At 36.4% G+C, this 21,293-nt stretch overlaps 1 long non-coding RNA gene across 3 annotated transcripts; it reads left to right on the plus strand.

The window, feature by feature from the left end:
- The first annotated feature begins 2,066 nt into the window (after positions 1 to 2,066).
- LOC105374017 (uncharacterized) lies at positions 2,067 to 18,842 on the plus strand. Of its 3 annotated transcripts, none has more exons than XR_924293.3 (3): positions 2,067 to 2,100; positions 17,004 to 17,279; positions 18,616 to 18,842. It is a non-coding gene; the product is annotated as an uncharacterized LOC105374017 (long non-coding RNA). The 3 variants fall into 3 exon arrangements; XR_924295.2 differs by lacking the exon at positions 2,067 to 2,100 and adding an exon at positions 3,378 to 3,840; XR_924294.2 differs by lacking the exon at positions 2,067 to 2,100 and adding an exon at positions 3,850 to 4,066.
- Positions 18,843 to 21,293: the final 2,451 nt, after the last annotated feature.

Genomic DNA, 21,293 nt, shown 5'->3' on the forward strand with positions numbered 1-21,293 from the left:
TACAACTGTTCCCTCCCTAGTGGAGGGAGGATAACTCTGGAGGGGACTAAATGAGACATTTCTAAGGTCTATACTAGGTATTAGGATTTCATGACAGTTCCTCAAGGTCACAGTACAGGTATAGGCACTGTCAGAAATGCTGCCTATTTCCTACATGAATTTAACCAACCAAGCAGACTTCCTCCCTCCTTCGAGTCTATAAACTCTATAAAGCAACCCTACTCAGTATGGACATAAATGAAATATTGCATCAACTATTTAAATGTTCTAAAAAGCATATATTAAGGAAGATGGTATTGATGATCTAAAATACTTACTGGCACTTGAATCCAATGTAGTAAAGGCATTTTATAAATCAGCCGACAGCCCTTGGGTACTGAATCTAAATTTTGAGTTTGTGAGCCATATATCACAGATGTCTTTTTGCAGGCTATGCTTTCCCCCTTGGAAAGCTATTTATTATTTTTATCAATATTAATGTAATTGCCATTTTTTTTTTAGATGAAGTATGTGCGTCTATCCGTATCTGACTTGGACAAGTTTTTCTCAGATCAATGAGAAGCATACTGCTGGCTTTTCCTTTCTCTGTAAAATGTTGGAATGTTTATCGCTAAGTTTTTTTTTTTTTAAACCAAGTGTCACTAAGTAGTTGTAATTTTAATTTATTTTATACTTTGGCTAATGGACATTTCTAATCAATAAAATACTAGGAATTTTCCCTTTGCAAGACAGAAATCAGCTATTAACTAAAATGGCAAAGTAAATTACCCCCTATCCCCTTACAGCACATGAGACTTTTGGAGAACTTATTTTTCTCCTGTGGTTGTGCCATGCACAGGTGCGGTAAGAAAGAACAGGTAGCACCTCTTTCTCATGTCATCATTTCTTTATTAAGTAACAGTGATATTTTATTAAAATATTAAGGGTTGAAAGGAAGCTCAGAAAATGCTGAGAGAAAATCTTGCCTTTTGTAAATAAGAATATGTGGAAATTCAACTTGGTAACCTTAGTTTGACTAGCTTTTAAAATTTTCTCTGTTGCTAAGGGAACTTAATGATAGATATAAAAATGTCCTTAAAGCAAGTTCTTCGAACAAGCTTTTGCACAACCGTCATCACAGCATTTATAAGCGGCAACCCCATCAATATGGAAGAGAGAAAAGCTAGAAGTGAAAATTGCATCATCCCTCCTATATCAGACAAGTTAATTAGTTGGTCCATAATCACAGACTCTGCTCCAAATGAAAAGCACAGCTTTGTTCCTTTTGAACAGAAAGGCACAGAAGGTACAATACCCACATAATTCATTAACAGTAATACTGTTTTGAAGGAAGAACTGCTGAATTTAGATTATTCTGAACTCCAACTCGTAATAGCCAAAGTTGTGATAAGAATTTTGCAGTTTCCCAAAACAAATTTAAAATGTGAGAAATTCCTTTTGTGCCTATCAGAAGCAACCTTAAGAGTCTGGCAGATTGTATAAGATGCTTTTTATTTTATTTATTTATTTTTTATTTTAAAGATATTAGGATACTATTTGGGGTACAGTATAAGCTATGGAGCCTTGTTATTGAAGAACCAGTTAAGCATGTCAGATCCAAAGTAGCTCCTAAAACAACTTGAAAAATGGGAAATTTGGGATCTAAGTTCCGGATTGTAATGTTTTAACCATCTATTTAGAATAATTTAAAGAATGTATCTGTATATTAGTGTCTACGGTTCTAGAAGTTTCAATGATTAGAGAAAAAGGGCTTGAAGGTCATGAAGCCTGTTACAGGTGGAAAGGAAATGCTGACTGATTAGAGAGTCAGGAAGCTGGAAGGCTAAAACAAGAGAGTGAACTAGAATAGGCTGCTAGTTCACCGCTAACTCTCTGCCCCCTCAAATCTACCTGGAGAAACTGCAGAAGCAGAGAGAAGCCTGAGTCTGGAAGAGGCATAGGGGGCTGCCTGGTCAAACCACAGCTCTCGGAAGACAGTGGGGACAGAGGCTTTCAGTTATCTTGCCTCTGACTCGTTGGTCCATCACTTCGGGACTGTTCTTACCTCACAATTGTCACAGAATTCTGTAGCAATAGCCTGGACCTCGAAATGCCAGGAAGGTAATATTTGGGTCTGCAAAGTCTCTGCTAGTGTGGGACACTAATAAAACAGATGCCAGCTATCAGGGATCTTATAAATTCTCTTCAAATGCTAGAGCTAATAGATTTTGTTTTAAAAAGACTGCACCATCTTGAAAAATATGATTCAGGAGATTTGTTGGTGGAGTGGCACAGACGTAATGGGGACAGGTTTTGGTACTTCAAGGCTCCCCATTTAGTCTCATCCTCTTTGTGATTAAACTCAAAAGCGGAAATACAGTGTAGGCTCTTCCCTAATTTATATTATCAGGTAGTGTCATGAGCTCATGGGGGATAAAACTTCTAGATACTAGGGACAATAATCTTTAAAAGGAAGGTGGCAAGCTAAAAATAATATCATATGAAAGAGAATTATTGGAAAAGATGGACTAAGAATATAAAATAAGTTTAACCGAAATACTCTAAGGAAAAAGAAAGTTGGTAATGGCTGAGTGCAGTGGCTCACACCTGTAATCCCAGCACTTTCGGAGGCCAAGGTGGATGGATCACCTGAGGTCTGGAGTTTGAGACCAGCCTGGCCAACATGGTAGAACCCTGTCTCAACTAAAAATACAAAAAGTAGCCGGGCATAGTCGTGTGAGCCTGTAATCCCAGCTACTTGGGAGGCTGAGGCAGTAGAATCACTTGAACCCAGGAGGCTGAGGTTGCAGTGAGCTGAGATCACACCACTGTACTCCAGCCTTGGCAGCACAGTGAGACTCCATCTCAAAAAAAAAGAAAAGTTAAAATGTGGAAGAAGTCATAAGAATGAATCAAGTGGAGATAGTAAGTATGAGAACTATAATAGTTAAAAAAAAAAAAAAGATCTGAAGACCCAAAAGATTCAGCTGAAGAAAGAATTAGTTTGTCAGAAGATTATATTGAACACTTTCAGAAGATAACAGAAAAACATAAAATTAGAGAAAACATTACAATAAACTAAAAGACTTGGAAAATAGAAATAAAAAATGCGAACATCCAGTTACTTGGATTCTCAGAAAAAAGATTGTGGTGGTGGTGGTGGGCAGAAGGGGCAAAGAAAAGACATATTAAAAAAAATAAAGATTATTAATATCCCAGAAATAAAGAAAAATACCAGATCTCTTATTTGAAATGACACATAAGATAAACTTTTGGGACTAAAGTTTACTCATCACTAAAATCGGGATAATAAAATGTCTATCTTAAAATATTATTGAGAGGATAAAATAAGTTAATATATGTAAAACCCCTAGAATAGTGCCTTGCACATAATCACTTGTTAATTATTAGCTATTATTATTACTTAGACATATTACAATTAAATTCTAGAACAATGAAGAGAAATGGAAATGCTTCCAGAGAATGAGCATACCTACCAAGGAAAAATATTTAGATTGATCCCAGGCTTCTTAACATTGTAATTACATTTGAAAACTAAGGACGTTAGATTCAATCAACCTTCAGAATATTGACCATATAAAGAATCACTTTGAGAAACTCTTGAAGAATGTATTGAAATAAGAAGATGCATAAATATATAAGGAATATATGATGTTGGGCCCCACATTTTGAGGATATTATAATAATTTTTCAAAGCATGGATGAAGCAAAATATGTAAATTCTAAATAGCATCAACACTGTTTTGAAGCTGGGAGACAACAAAAGATGAAAATGGTGTGAACTTGCAAAGTACAAATATTGCTATATTTAAGAAACCAATGAAAAATACGGGGAAACCAGTAAGTATAGATATTAAGTTAGAAGCAAGAATAAAAATAGACAGTGAGAATTTTCATGTACTTCTTGTATTCTAGTGCTTCATTAGTCAAATTATATAGGCACATATACTGTGGGATGCATTCTAGTGCTTAATTAGTCAAATTATATAGGCACATATACTATGGCCCTGCAACTTCATTCCTGGGTCTGCATCTCAAAGAAATTACTACAAAGGTCCATATAGGGGTAAGTATGAGAGTGTTTGTTGAAACAGTAGTTGGGGTGTCCTGGAGGCGTAAAACACTGGGTGAATGGATGAGTTAAGTTAGCAAAGTGGCAGCAAAATTACTCCAGCAGCAGCCCACAAACTGCATATGACAGGGACAGTGATATCACTGAACAGTCATTGCGACTCATGTAATACGGGGAAGGGGCTCGTTGCAGGTGTTGATGAAAGTTGAACCTCTAGAAGTACTGGTGGAGATGGAGAGAGGAAGTCATTACGGGCCATGAATGGCACATTGACAAGGCTGGGAGGAGCCCTGTGGTTGGAGTGGGGTAATGCTTTTTTGTGGGCTCTGAATATCACATCGTTCTCAGTCTTGCATTGGCAATTGTGGATCTATAAAAGTACAAAGAAGGGAAAGTGAGAAAGAAAATCTGGTTTTATCACTACATGAATTAAGGCAATAGGTTTAATGTAAACTATTGGAAAGGCTCTTAAATATGAAGCAATGTTGAAATTCAAAGGGATCCAGGGTGAATCATTAGCTCTGGTTGAAAATCCTCCATCACTTTTTGTACATTTTCAAACTATGTTACATATATTAAAATAAGAATTGCAAAATCTTGCAAATTGTAGAATCAATCATTTTTTAAATTCATGTAAAGGCTTAGCTATCATAGACCCATAGGATGGTAGTTAAGTGCTTAGCTCTAGGACAGACTATGTATGTTTAAAGCCCAGCTTTATCATGCATAAGTTTAATGAAATAATATATGCAAAATATCTGTACACAGTAACTGTTAAATGTTTTCCTTATTCTACTTAATTAATCTGGTTGAAGAAGTAAATCTTCATTAATGTGATTTATAAATCACATTTATGGACTGGATACGAATTGGGCAAAGCTGAAGTGTTGAATTCATCTGATCCTCATTGCTCAGCTGGGCTCAATTTAAGACCCAGATGCATTAGCCTCTTGAGGAGAGTTAGGTTGGCTAAACAGAATTTTGGATTCTGTGTTTAATCAATTTACATAGAACAGAGTTGATCTAGTATTCCATAGCGGGCTCTGAGGTTCTTGATTAATAAAAAGTGATGCAAGTTACAAATTTATTTTTGATGTGACATAAATTTGCACCATTATTCTTATGTATTAACTTATAATGTTGTAGTATATAATTATAAAAATGATTATTGTCATTTGTATCATTAAATATGTATTTTTAGGCAAAATAAAATGCTTGTTTTACTGTATAATTTTTAATCATTTCAAGTTTCATGCTTAACTATATGCTTTTTGACATTTGGACTCTGAATATCATAGTTTATGATATATGTAGTGAGGTTTATTAGATATTTACTTTTTTCTCTAGCTTGTGAGAATATAATTAATATAGGCAATTTAGCATGTTAAACAGCTTACAGATTTAGAATGAAGAAAATGCTAGAAATAACAAATATATTTGTCAAAACATACGTAAACATGAATTAAGAAAATTTATAATGATTTAGGTACTCATGCTCATTTTTAGATAACTTCAATAGTAAATGAGAGACCAAACTGCTTTAAGAATGGATGTGTCTTATATACAAACATATAGAGGGTAGGGAGTCTACTTACTTCTTTTTTCACTTACATTTTTTTTTCTGTGTGTGAAAGATAAATTTAGGAAGAGAAAGACAAAGAAGACTTGAGTTACTTTTGATTTAGTTGAACACTTATCAATTATTTAAATATTTAAAAAAATGTAAATATGACTCATTTCTCAAAGATAGGAAAGAAGACTAGGAACACCAACCAGAGCTTCAGCTCTGTCATAATTATGAGATTAAATTAAAATTCAATTTCCTCTGGGAAGTTTTCCCTGATCCTCAGCTGGAAGTAATTTCTTCCTCTTCTGACTTTCCAGAACCTCTCCTAAAGCACTTAAGGCCTTGTATTGTAGTGATTTACGAATGCTCTCCAGGGTCTTATGATATTGCAAAATTATAAAGTAATTGAGTAGAGGATTTATATCTGATCCCGCTTCAGTCTGGAAGCAGTGGTTTAAAATAGAAGAGTATGGAGTTTAGAATCAGTGAGAACCCGGTTTCAAGCCAAGCTCTGCCACTTCCTAACCATTTGAACTGCAGCAAGTCATTAATTTTCTTTGCGCTTTGACTTCCTTATATATAAAAGAATGATAATCATACTTAGTTCATAGCATCTGGGAAAGATTTTATGAAATAATTCATTAACTGCTCCCATCCCCTCACATATATTCATTAAACCTCAGCTCTTTTCTTTCATATTGCTGATAAACATTCCTTTCCACCATGTAAAAGGTGTTCCTATGAACACACAATGAGTCACTCATTTTGCAACTGCAACTATCACTTTTGAAAAGGCAGTATCACTATGATGTTTGGTATGGCTTGTGGGCTGCACTTTATTCCCATCCCCCACTGCTGTTTTTTTAATTTATTCGATGGGACCAGTATTTCCCTTTCTCCTAGATGAAATTTAAGGAAAACATGTTTCTTGTCATTTTAACACAATGGTTTAACACAACCTTGCTCAGCAGTTCATAGGTCTCATTTCATGTAAGAATTAAAAGTTCGAAGATTATTTAAGTTGCAGCTACTTCCCTTTTCTCAGCTCAGTATTGTTGCAGTTTTGTCATTGCCTAATGGGTTGATGGAGAAGCAGATTGGCCTCTTCTGTCTTCCACTGACTTATGCTTCTAACCCTAGAGACAGAAAAATGAACAGGTGACTAATACTATCATGAATTGGTGCCTGACTCACAGACTATTGTTGTTTTGCTTTACTTATTTTAAGATGCAATTTTATCTCTTAGAATAGTTTTAATTGATTCTTCAGGAACCATTCCCACCCAGGCCCATTGTTGGGAATTTTATATCTGCAGTCTCTTTGATGTGAATGAAGTACTTTCTCTGGCTGAATATGAGGTTCTCATTGGCTTCAAATTGTTGATGAATATTTCATTTATATTTTTAAATAATATTTATTGAGCACCCATTATGTGTCAGAAACTCTTCTAAGTGGATTAGCGAAAAAAGATTTCCAATTTGGAAATATATATTTTAAAGGAGGAGACAAAACAATAAATAATAGACATAATTAATAAGTAGCTAACATAATATGTTAGAAAGTGACATATACTCTGGGAATAAGAATTAATAAAGCAGATTAAAGAGGATTGGGAATGCTTTTGTGGGACTAAGTCAAAATTTTAAGTGGGGTGATCACTGTAGTTCTTATTGAGAAGGTAGGTTGCAGCTTCTCCCATTCCTACATGCTCACCCTTTGCAATGTGGGTTTGCTGCTCAAAGGGTGGAAACTCACTTTCCATCCCTTGAATATGGGCTTGGACATGTGATCGCTTAGGGTAATATACATTAAAAATCAAAACAACCATCCTGGCTAACATGGTGAAACCCTGTGTCTACTAAAAATACAAAAACTTAGCCGGCCGTGGTGGCAGGCGCCTGTAGTCCCAGCTACTCGGGAGGCTGAGGCAGGAGAATTATGTTAACCCGGGAGGCGGAGCTTGCAGTGAGCCGAGATTGCGCCACTGCACTCCAGCCTGGGCGACAGAGTGAGACTCCGTCTCAAAAAACAAACAAACAAACAAACACAAAAAATATTAAAACAAAGCAAAGGCATAAAAATTGCTTGTGTTTTGGGGTTTCATCCTCTCTTGCTGCTGGGGAATTCTCTGCCACCAAGTAAAGAAATCTCATTTTGCATTCTGGAAGATGACAGCCCAGCTGGAGGTAAAACTTTCAGCTTTCCAAACCCTTTCAGCTCAGGTTCTAGCTGAGGCTAAAGACTTCCAACCAAGAGTAATTGTAGACCACCGAGCTTCAGTTGAGCAGGCATGGACAAGAAGACAAGTAGCCAACCCACATAATCATGATGAAAAACAAACTGTCATTGCTTTAAACCACCAAAATTTGTGGTTATCCATAGCTAACTGATACACTGACATTTTTTAAAGGCTTGGAGGAAGTCACAGTGTGTGCCCTGTGGATGGCTGAAATAGTAAATATCCTGTGAAAATCCCCTAAAGCACAAGGGAGACTATAGGGTTGAGGAAGGGAGAGGGGTAGGATGACAAGGAGAAAAGGGAGGGATGTGGAAGGGAAAACCCAGATTATGTATACTATTGTAAATACTTTGGCTTTTACTTTGGGTGAAATGGGAATTTCACCCTTGAATTCCAGTTACTTCTCCAGGCAGACCCACGTAAATTTCCTTCTCTGGTGTGGCTCATTCTTTGCCTGGATAAACCCTGAAAGCGCAGACTAATTTCAGTTGCAGCAGCTAGCTCTTCTTTGCTCCTTACTCAGCTAGTTAGCTAGCCAAGTGCATCTCACTCCTCAGATCTGGAAAGTATGAGCTCGTCACTGGTCTTCAATGTCTTCCAAAGTGCAGGCAGAGTATAATAAGCTTGACTGTCCATACCCCTGAAAGCTCTCTCTAGAATTTAGGTAAAGGGATGAAATGCACTCTATCATCTTTACCCTTAGAAGAGAATGAGATTCATAATACCCCAACAACTCTTTTGAAAAGTTCTCCTGAAATTTCTAGTTAGTTTCCTTTTCTCTCCAATCTCCATTTAGGCTAAGGCAATGGTCATCTAAGATCACAAAACTGTTTCCACAATTTGCTTTTGTAAGTTCTAAATGTTTGTATTGCACCTTAGTTTATTGTGGGACATCTGTTATTTTATCAGTTGTCTTATCAGTTGCACCTGCAATTACAGCTAACTTATGTGCCTTTCAACATACTGCTAGAACAGCGGTCTGAGATAGAGGTAGAATTTTCCATGACTAAAGTAGAAGAGGGCCTATTTTTAAAACTCTGTCTTCAAAATTATTTAATTAACATACTAATTCTTACAATTTGGCTCTGTTTTTCTTACAGAATACATTATAATCATTCTTTTTTATTGATACATCGTATTTTATACATTGATAGGGTACATGTGAGTGTTACATGCAGAATGTGTAATGATTAAGTCAGGGCATTTAGTATATCCATCACCTCCAGCATTTATCATTTTTATGTGTTGAGAACATTTTTGAGTCCTCTTTTCTAGCTACTTTGTAATATACAACACATTGCTCCTAACTATACTCACTGTACTCTGCTATTGTACATTAGAATTTATAGCCTATCAAACTGTATGTTTGTACCCATTAACCAACTTCATTTCATTCATTACTACCACCCACACACACTTCTAGGCCTCTGTATCCATCATTCCACTCTTTACCTCCATAAGATCAAATTTTTAAGCTTCTATATATAGATGAGAACATACAATATTTATCTTTTTATTCTTGGTTTATTTCATTTAACATAATGACCTCCAGTTCCATCTATGCTGCTGCAAATGACAAGGTTTCATTCTTTTCTTTGGCTGAATAGTATTACATTGTGTATATATACCATATTTTTAAAAAAGTACATTCATCCTTTTGTGGACACTTAGATTGATTTTACATCTTTGTCATTGTGAACAGTGCTGCAATAAATATGCAAGTGCAAGTGTTCCTCTGATACACAGACTTCTTTTCCTTTGGATAAATAGTAGTGAAATTGATGGATTATGTGACAGTTATATTTTTAGTTTTTTGAGAAATCTTCATAATGTTTTTTATAGTAGCTGTACCAGTTTACATTCCCAATAGCGTTTGAATTCCCTTTTCTTTCATCCTCACCGACATCTGTTATATTTTGTATTTTTAATAATAACTATTTTAATTGGGGTAAAATAATATCTCATCATGGTTTTGATTTGCATTTCCCTGATGATTAGTAATGTTGAGCATCTATATATTTTTTGGCCATTCGTATGTCTTCTTTTGAGAAATGTCTATTCATGTCTTTTGACCCTTTTTAATTGGATTATGTGTTTCTTTCTTTGGTTTTTTTAACTGTTGAGTTGTTTAAGTTCCTTGCATATTCTTGATATTAGTCGCTTGTCAGATTAATCATTTGTGAATATTTTCTCCCATTTAAGAGGTTGTATCTTCACTCATTTGTTTCCTTTGCTGTGTAGAAGCATTTTAGTTTAACATAGTCTCATTGGTCTATTTTTGGTTTTGCTGTCTATGCTTTTGAGGTTAATTCTTATGTATTGAATAGTTAGTGGTAATTTCACTTAGCCATTCATTTATTAAATTTTTACTAAATTCTTACCATGTACCAAACCTGAATTAAGTACTGGGGATACAGAAAGAACAAAAACATAATTCCTAATCTCAAGGAGCTCATGGTTGATTGCTCAACAATTTAAAAAGTAATTTTAAAGAGGTATGCAAAAAATGGTTGGTAAATGTACTCCTTCAAGTGCTTTCAGATGGAAATAAAAGAAAAACACATTTCAAACTGGAGTAAGCAATAAAAAATATATATTGCCATTTATAGTAGGAGGTTCAGAAATTGAGCAGCTTCAGGGTTGACTTAATCAATGGCCTTAGCTCTATTTCTACAGTCTCTTTTCTCCTCTGTGATTTAGCTCTATCTTTAAATTGGTAACGAAATGGTTACATTAGCTCTAGAATTTACTTTTATGCCTAACAATGTCCAGAGGAAGAAAAGATATGTTGGTTCCAGAAGCACTCATAGGAGAAACCCCAAAAAATTTATTCTAACATCTGGTTGGCTTTGAGTCACAAGACTTTACAGAACTGCGATTGACTCTAGAAAAATCAAGTACATCTCTTGAGCTGGAGGTGGGTTAGTTTTCCCTGTGTATCTAGATTTTTGGACAGAGTTGGTTACTTTAATAATTTCCAGATTCTATTAGAAAGAATTAATGTTTGGCTGGTAAGAATGCCTGCTGCTGTAGGTCCAAACAGAGTCACAGGAGAGAAGAATTATACTGAACCTAAGTCTTGTGAAAGGGATCAGGAAATGAATTTATATGGAAGTAATACTTTAGATGTAGCTTGGAATTCTGAGTACGAGTTAGCTAAGAAGGCTTAGTAGGAAAGGGTGATGAACCCTATAAGGGAAGAGGACAGCTTGGACAAAGAACAGTAGTCTGTGGATCTTGGGGCTTTGTGGGAAATGCAAGTAAGTAAGATTGTCTGGAGCAGAACTGTGCCCAGATATTTACAACATGACATGAAGGAGCTTATTGGCTGGGTCACTCATGTAAAGAGGTTGAGAAATACCCAGAAACAGGAATACTGAATTTCAGCTACTATAGCATCTTCTATGAGATCTCCTGAGGAAATAAACACCCAGGAAAGATCCAGGAAGAGGCAGTTATGTTTATTAGTTTATTAATGATAGCTGATATTGTATTGCCATGCAGAATTTGAAGAATTTCCTCTGAACTATTTCTTTAATACAAAATAAAATTCAGAAGAACTTAAGAATTCTGAAGCCAGAGAAAAAGAACTGGAATCCCAATCCTGACACTTGTTAGTTGCTTGACTTTGATCAGCACATGTAACCTCTGTGCTCCTCAGTTTCTTTTTCTGTGAAATGGGCATAATAGAGCATCCACCTCAAAGATTTTAGCAGACTAAGTGAGTTACCACATATTAAAACACTCAGAAGAGTACCTGGTAAAGTTTGCAAGCATCATATGAGCATTATGTAAATATTGGCAAGTGGTGTTATTGCTTCTTCAGCTTTTGGTGGAGCCAAACCTTAGGACACTAGAGGTAGGCAAAGCAGCTTTCCAGTGTCTTTTTCTTTTGATCTACAATTTTGAATGCAAGAAAAAACAGAATGAAAAAAGAAAATAATAATTTTTTATAAGACTTAGAGCAGACTGCCAGATACTCTTTTATTTCAAACTGGCAGTAGTTTAATTTTGTAAGGTACAGATTTGTGGGTATGCATAGATGTGGGTCTGGTTGGGTAGAAGTGAGTAGCAAGTTGCCTCCTCTGACAGAAGGAAAGACTAGGGGCTTTCTCACTGCACCAGCTGTGAATGTGGGTAGGATTCTATAAAAGAACACATTGAAGAGTGACAGAGGGAGAATAGGCTTCCAAAGACAGGAAGACAATTTAATGTTATATCCTCTTTGATGATGTTACTAAGAAAGATGGAGGTGAAGAGAAGCTTCCAGTCTCCTTCCTATTCCCCACTGCCATACCCCACATTTATTTCCATAGTCTAAGTATACTATTTCAGACCTGCTAGGACCTTGCTGCTTGACCTGCATGTACATACTTCTATTCACCTTTATTATAGGTAGGATGCAAGGATTCATGGGATTGTATGTCTGTTCTTGTTTTGTTTAACCATATGGAAAGATTTTCTTCCTTGTAACCCTATTATTATTATTTTTTAAGTTGAATAGGTAACTATTGTTCTGACAGCTAATTTCCCATCTGTTTCTGCCTCCTAGATTCAGAGAATGAGATGTGCACTTAATTTACTATAATGGGTTGAGTTGCGTCCCCTAAAAAGATACATTCAAGTCATAACTCCTGGTATTTGCGGATGTGTGTTTATTTGGAAATGGGTTATTTACAGATGTAATCAAATTAAAATGAGGTTATAATGGATTAGGGTGGGCTCTAAATCCAATGATTAGTGTCCTTCTAAGGATAGGGAGACTTGGAAATACACAGAGGTAGAAATGCCATGCCAGGTTGGAGGCAGAGCCTGGGGTGATGTAACAGTAAGCCAAGGGATGCTGAAGATTACTGGCAGCTACCAGGTGCTGGGGAAAGGCATTGGAGGGGTCTATCCTAAAGACTCCAGAGGAAGTAAGGCCTTACTGACATCTTGATTTCAGACATCTAGCCCCAGAATTGTGACAGAATACATTTCTGTTGTTTTAAGCCACCCATTTTGTGACTGTTGGCTATGGCAGCTCTAGAAAATTAATACATCTACATTGAAACATGAAGAATCTAGAATGTAGGCTAAAGCACATATTGAAACCTTTGAGTATAAAAGCCAGATTTTTATATCATTCTTCTATGGCTGTTATAAAAGCTGATATCAATATTCTCATCAGGAATAAAAAAATAGATCCAAGCAAGAAATTCAGAATTTCAAATAAAGAAATGAAGCATTTTGGTGATGGAGAACAGTTTTCCTGTTAGATCTTACAGCTAAAATATATCTTGCCTTCTGCCAATATAGATATTATCATCTCATCATTTTAAATTTCTTAAATTTAAAAACACTTCTATTAATGCTCCTTTTACTATGTCAGATTTGTTTTGTTGGATGAAAATCATAATGATAGCCAGATCTTCTTAGGATGCCTTTATCAACTTTGGTTTTGTTTTGTTTTGAGCAGACTTAATGAGGCAAATAAAGATTTATCAGTTCCCCAGACACCTTTTTACTCTTTAGCACGGAATTGGAGTGTAACGGTTGCTGATGAAGAATGACAGAGCATTTTGGTTAGTGCACATAAAACTGTTGTTTGTACAGATTATAACAAATATATTTTAAACTTAATTTCAAGTTTCCTTTTTCCGCTCCCTATGAACCTTTTATTTCAGAATGCTTCTCACAGCCAAAATGCTTTACCAAATGGAATGGACACACCATTGCTTCTGAGACGAAATTAGCCTCCAAGATGGGCTGCCTGGTGCTCACACTGTCAGCACCACCATGGTCTGCAGGCCAGTTGCCAGTTTTTAACAGTGTCCAGGGAGATATCAGCTTCCTAACTGATTTCCTCCCTCTTCCCAACCTAATTATTCGGAGACCTTCAAGCTTTCCAGAAATATCTGCAATTAGTCAGATGGTATCTAGGGCTTTGTTTAAAATTACAATAGAAAATTTATCAAGACCATTTGGTTTAATCTCCCTCATCATCTTCCCAGTGGATTTTTTTTCCCTTCTCTCTGGAGAGTTAGAAATGAGGCATCACAATTATTACATAATTACAGACAGTAATAGCAATAATAATGCTTGAAATTATTATTACACTATTAAAAGGAATGATATGTGTAAAGATAATTTCTTGTCAGATTTATAAAACTTTTCTTCCAGAAGCTCAAACAATGAACAATTTGTTAGCTTTAAAAGCTCCCTTTGCTGATGGTGGTTAGAGCCCTGGTTTTGTAAACCAGGAGTCATGAACTCAGACTTCACTAGAATCTCAACCTACTTCTAGCGTTTAAACATAATAGCTGGTATGAAATCATTGTTCTATATATATTGTTGCATGACATAATAGATAAATTGATAGGGAAAGTTTTTGAGGTAAATGGAGATTATATTTTCATATTATTAATCTTCTTTTCTAACTACTTTTACATAGCTTATATCTATATAGCAAACTCTTGGTTGGCCAAAGTTAAATAAAACACTTTAGAATATGAGTTTGATTTCTAGTTCTACTGTTTTGTAACTCCATGTATTTGAGCAAGTCACAAGTTCTGAGTCTCATATTCATCAATAAATTGGAGTATACAAGAACATACATATCATTAAACATTTTCTTTAGTGCAACATTAAATATAAACTTGAAAGCTTCTTAGTCTTCTAACCCCAATCTTATTTCCATTCTCACCTCTTCAGAATCAGCCATTTAATGAATTTAATATGAATTCTTGCAGTTATATCTATGAATGTACATGTCAACAAAATATTTTATGCACCTAAAATTTTTTAAAACTTACACAAGTTGTTACACAGATGTTATCAAAGTGCATATGTTATACTGAAACTTGCTGATATGATTTGGTTATGTCCCCACTCAAATCTCAACTTGAATTGCATCTCCCAGAATTCCCACATGTTGTGGGAAGGACCCAGTGAGAAGTAATTGAATTAGGGGGGCTGGTCTTTCCTGTGCTTTTCTCATGATAGTGAATAAGTCTCACGAGATCTGATGGGCTTATCTGGGGCTTCTGCTTTTGATTCTTCCTCATTTTTCTCTTGCTGCTGCCATGTAAAAAGTGCCTTTTGCCTCGGGCCATGATTCTGAAGCCTCCCCAGATGTGTGGAACTATAAGTCCAATTAAACCTCTTTTTCTTCCCAGTCTCGGATATGTCTTTATCAGCAGCATGAAAATGGACTACAGTAAATTGGTACCAGTAGAGTGGGGCACTGGTGAAAAGATACCAGAAAATGTGGAAGCGACTCAGAGGTTGGAACAGTTTGGAGGGCTCAGAATAAGACAGGAAAATGTGGGAAAGTTTGGAACTTCCCAGAAACTTGTTGAATGGCTTTGCCCAAAATGCTTATAGCGATATGGACAATAAAGACAAGGCTGAGGTGGTCTCAGATGGAGATGAGGAACTTGTTGGGAAGTGCAGCAAAAGTGACTCTTATTAGGTGTTAGCAAAGAGACTGGTGGCATTTTGCCTGCACGCTAGAGATTTGTGGAACTTTGAACCTGAGAGAGATGATTTAGGGTATCTGGTGGAAGAAATTTCTAAGCAGCAAAGCATTCAAGAGGTAACTTGGGTACTGTTAAAGACATTCAGTTTTATAAGGGAAGCAGAGAATAAAAGTTTGGAAAATTTGCAGCCTGACAATGTGATAGAAAAGAAAAACCCATTTTCTGAGGAGAAATTAAAGCTGGCTGCGGAAATTTGCATAAGTATCAAGGAGACCAATGTTAACCGCCAAGACCACGGGGAAAATGTCTCCAGGTCATGTCAGAGATCTTCATGGCAGCCCCTCCCTCACAGGCCCAGAGTCCCAAGAGGGAAAAGTGATTTCGTGGGCTGGGCCCAGCATCCCTGTGCTGTGTGCAGCCTAGGGACTTAGTGCCCTGTGTCCCAGCCCCTCTAGCTGTGGCTGAAATGAGCCAATGTACAGCTCGGGCTGTGGCTTCAGAGGGTGGGAGCCCCAAGCCTTGGCAGCTTTCACGTGCTGTTGAGACTTCGGGTGCACAGAAGTCAAGAATTGAGGTTTGCGAACCTCCACCTAGATTTCAGAAGATGTACGGAAACACCTGGATGCCCAGGCAAAGGTTTGCTGGAAGGGCGGGGCCGTCATGGAAAACCTCTACTAGGGCAGTGCAGAAGTGAAATGTGGAGTCAGAGCTCTCACACAGAGTCCTCACTGGGACACTACCTAGTGGAGCTGTGAAAAGAGGGCTATCATCCTCCAGATCCCAGAACGGTAGATCCACCTACAGTTTGTTCTATGCACTAGGAAAAGCCGCAGACACTCAACGCCAGCCTATGAAAGCAGCCAGGAGGGGGGCTATACCCTGTAAAGTCACAGGGGTGGAGCTGCCCGTGGGAACCCACCTCTTGTATCAGCATAACCTGGATGTGAGACCTGGAGTCAAAAGAGATCATTCTGGAGCTTTAAAATTTGACTGCCTTGCTGGGTTTTGGACTTACATGGACTCTGTAACCCCTTTGTTTTGGCCAATTTCTCCCATTTGGAATGGCTGTATTTACCCAATATCTATACGCTCATTGTAGCTAGGAAGTTACTAGCTTGCTTTTGATTTTACAGGTTTATATGCAGAAGAGACTTGCCTTATCTCAGATGAGACTATGGACTGTAGACTTTGGGTTAATACTGAAATGAGTTAAGATTTGGGGAGACTGTTGGGAAGGCATGATTGGTTTTGAAATGTGAAAACGAGATTTGGGAGGGACCAGGGACGGAATGATATGGTTTGGCTGTGTTCGCACCCAAATCTCAACTTGAATTGTAACTCTCAGAATTCCCACATGTTGTGGGAGGGACCCAGTGGGAGGTAATTGAATTATGGGGGTCAGTCTTTCCCATCCTAGTCTCATGATAGTGAATAAGTCTCATGAGATCTGATGGGTTTATCAGGGGTTTCCACTTTTGCTTCTTCCTTATTTTTCTCTTGCTGCCACCATGTAAGAAGTGCCTTGTGCCTCCTGCCATGATTCTGAGGCCTCCTCAGCCATGTGGTACTGTAAGTCCAATTAAACTTCTTTTCCTTCCCAGTCTTGGGTACATCTTTATCAGCAGCACGAAAATGGACTAATACACTTGCCTTTTCTCTCTTCAGCGTTTTCAAGATCTATTGTTGATAATATATAATATCTTACAAGTTATTTAATTCTCTAATGTATGGGAAGCAGCGTAGCATCGTCCTTGCTGTTGCTATGGTATTTATTGCTGTTGAGCCTTCAGGAAACCTCTCTGCATCTCGGTTTCCTCATCTATAAAATGGAGATGATAACTGTACTTACATCATGGAGCTGCTATGAGGATCAAAGAAGTTATCAACACTTCAGAATATGGCCAGCACATAGGAACAATATATCTATTTGCTAAATCGAAGGTAACAACTGTTGACTATTTTGTTTTTAATTTTTTACTATTACTAACAATTTTTTCAAAAATGTTTCATACACATAGCTTTGTTCCTTTGTGGGAGTGTTGCTCAATAGTATATTATACGTGGAAATGTTGGCTCATAGGGTTTATGCCTTTTCAATTTTAGATAATCATAAATTGTTCTCCATAATAAGTGTGTTAATTTATGTTCCTACCAATGTTTAAGAATTTCTGTTTTCTCCACACCCTTGCCTTATTAAATATTTATCAATTTTTTGGCCAATCTGATTCATATAAAATGGATCTCATGTGTTATTTTGTTCCCTTGATTACAAGTGAGAAAAACATTTTTTTTCAAATATCCTTTGGACATTATGATTTCTTCTTTTGAAAATTGTAAGCACTGCTTTGCTTGACTGGGACTAAATTATAAAGGTCTGGAGGGGCATGGTCTAAGGAAAATAGTTGAACAAATGATAACTATGCTTATGTTTACTGTTATTTCTTTCTCCTGACTCCACTATTGTCTTCATCTCTCCACTCGTCTTCATCCATCCTTTTCCTTCTCTGATAGTTACACATTTTTTCATTTGTGAAGAATTATGTCAGAAATTGAAAGACAGAAGACAATTTAAAAGCATGTCCTTGTCTTAATTGCAAGATGTCACATATTAGTTAAATGGCATAAGGAAGTGAAAAAAAAAACTATCTTTTAATGACAAATATTGTAGATAACATGAATTGTCATGTCTTCTTTTTTGGTACTTATCTAACCCGACTGCTTATCTAGTTCAACAACTTTTCTGTACAAGGGTGCAGAGAACTTATGTAGAAGTGCTAGATATTAAACATTTACTTTGTTAATCCATGTAATTTTGTGCTACTATCACCTACTAAATTAGAAGACAGCTGAGGGTCCAGTTACTGGCTGAGACACTCTAGTAAAGTAATTAATTGTGCTTTGGAACTGGAGCCTCTGGGTAAAATTTCATCTTCACCACCTTCTTATGTAACTCATAAGATTATTTTTAGGACTAAATGGCATTTTTTTTATATATATATATATATATATATATATATATATAAAGCTATTAATATTATACCTGGCACATAATAAATATTCATTAACTATTAGCTATTATTATTTCTTTCCTTTAATACTATTAGAGCTATAGGGTTATATAGTTCTATATATTTAGAGAGTTTAATTAAATTAGGCTTCATCGTATAATGATATAGGAAGAAGTTATTATCCTAACAGATAATATTTGGGAAGATATTTAATAAGCTTTCTCTGTGGTATAAATGAGTATTCTATTTTCTGGCCTTCTACATTTCAGGATAAAAAGAAACCTACTTTGTATGGAAAAGGAGAAAGAAAAGAGTAAGATTGAACTATGCTTTGCTGCATGGTGGGTTTGATGAAAGTGGAGTCACGCTGATTGGTGCTCAAGATAAATGTCTTAGGGGAAGACTCATACCCAGTGGAATTTTTTTTAGTGAAATATCGTGGCTCATGGACTGTGAGATTTGTCATTTGTTTTCAATAAAATGATAAAAATCATAATTTATTTTGTGAAAAAGAATTTCTAATGGAAGCAGGGAAAAGCATAAAGCAAAACATATGCTGTTTGGATTATATATACATTTTTTGGAAACCTGTGAGTTAGTAAAAGAGTTTTACAATTCCAGTTTGAATAGAATTGGTGGGAACAGCTAGAGTTAGTGACGTTTTCAGTGGAACACTATGTTCTTTAGTGAGTACTGAAATGTGTTAAAAAGGTTAATTCTATTTTTTGAACTGGGAACAATTTCCTGCAAAAATACGAATACACAATAAATATGTTACATAAAACCATGATTGTCAGGAGTAATATTTTAAAAATATGGTCAACTCATATTATTTTTAATTTTCTCATTAGATTTTTACTCTTACTTTACATATTCCTTTGCCTGACAAGCTCACTTGTATACTTGGTTGTAGAAACACAGAGTGCTAATTTCTACCACAGAACTTCTTATACTATTCCATAACTGTCTACTTATTCTGTTTCTCAACTAAGACTGACTTCTTGGAGAAATCTGTTGTTGGAGGATATATTTTTATTATTTTGTATTATCAATGCAGTAAAGTATCTTTTACAAAGTAAATATTTTTTAAATGTTAGTAAAATGACTTTTTAGAGTTGAAATCTTGATTCTGCTTGTGGAATATCAGTGTTCCAGAACAAAGACAACTGAAGCTGTTAAACCTTTAATCAAGAGACTCAGGGAGGCCATTCCTATGATTACGGTGGCATATTGATTTATTCATTGATAGGCTCTTTCAGCAGGAACTCCCTGGAAGATCTGTTAGGCTGAAATACATTGTCTTGATTTACAATGCTTGTTTTGGTTCTAGAACCATGCAAACTACAAAGCAAACAGCTCTAGAGAAAAACTTAGAATTCACAAGGTATACGGAAAGAGTCCTATAAATTTAACAAAAGATACTCAATAAACACTATCCAAAATATCCATTCACCTAAACTCTAAAACTTGCATTTTTTTATTATCTTTCTTTATTTGATGTTAATGAAAGAAAAATAAACACCTGAAAAGGTTTCACCCTGACACAGGGACTGGAGTCTATGTCTATAAGAACACGCAGTGAATTTCTTTTATTTGGTTCCAGCGTGAAGACTTGCATTTTACATTTTATATAAGTAATTATTAAATTATATTTTAAGTTTTAATATATTTTGGACGATCACAACTTCTTTTCTTCCTAGAATGCCAAGATATGAGCTTGTAGATGTGGGTTACATTATACTGGGTGGAAAGCGTTGTTATATGAAACCACTCAGACATGAAAACAGACTGCCTTCTATTAATAACAGATGCTCAAACATTTGATTCACCTTTCACTTCCATATAGTTGCACCTTCTATTTTCCCCTTCAGGATTGGACCTCACTATTATGGACTAAATGTTTGTGTTCCCCCTAAAATTCACATGTTGAGACTATAACCTCCAATGTGATGGTATTAAGAGATGGGGTATATGGGAGGTAATTAGCTTGACAGGAGGCCACAAAAGTACCATCCTCATGATGGGATTTGTGCCCTAGAAAAAGAAACCAGATAATTTGCTCCTTACCCTAGTCAAGTGAGGATACAGCCAGAAGGCAGCCCTCTGCAAACCAGGTGAAGAGCTCTCACCACAAACCCACCAGGCTGGCACCCTGATCTTGCACTTCCCAGTTTTCAGAATTGTGGAAAACAAATGTCTGATTTTAAATCACCCATTCTATGGTATTTTGTTACGGCATCTCAGACTGACTAAAAAACTTTCCCATCTTTTACTATCAAGCCAGTCTTGAATGTTTAGTTCAAACATCACCACTCCCCACCCCTGCATTGTGTGTATGAGGGTGTATTAAAAAAATAGGCAGACTATTTTTAAACACAAGTTATGCAACATGTTTTCACTATAAAAGTTGTGAGAAATATGAAAGTAAAATATGAAAACAACTTCCTTGCCCTAACAAATTTCTCATGTCAAGAGTAAGCACTGGTCACCAGTAATCCTGGCACTTTGGGAGGCCAAGGTAGGAGGATCACTTGAGCCCTGGAGTCTGAAACCAGCCTGGGCAACATAGTGAGACTCTGTTTCTACAAAAATTTTTCTTAAAAAATTAGCTGGACACAGTGACACACAGCTGTAATCTCAGCTACTTAGGAGGCTGAGGTGGGGGGATCACTTGAGCCTGGGAGGCTGAGGCTACTGTAAGTTGAGATCAGACCACTGCACTCCAGCCTGGGCAACAGAACAAGATTCTGTCTCAGAAAAAAAAAAAAAAAGAGAGAATAAAAGTAAAAGAAAGAAAAAGAAAAAAGAAAGAAAAGCAAACAAACAAAGAAAGAATAAACATTGGCCAGGTGTGGTGGTTCACACCAGTAATCCCAGCATTTTGGGAGACCAAAGTGGGAGGATTGCTTGAGTCCAGGGGTTTGAGACCAGCCTGGTAACACAGAGA

This window comes from Homo sapiens, chromosome 3 (genome assembly GCF_000001405.40).
Source record: "Homo sapiens chromosome 3, GRCh38.p14 Primary Assembly".
Classification (NCBI taxonomy): Eukaryota; Metazoa; Chordata; class Mammalia; order Primates; family Hominidae; genus Homo; species Homo sapiens.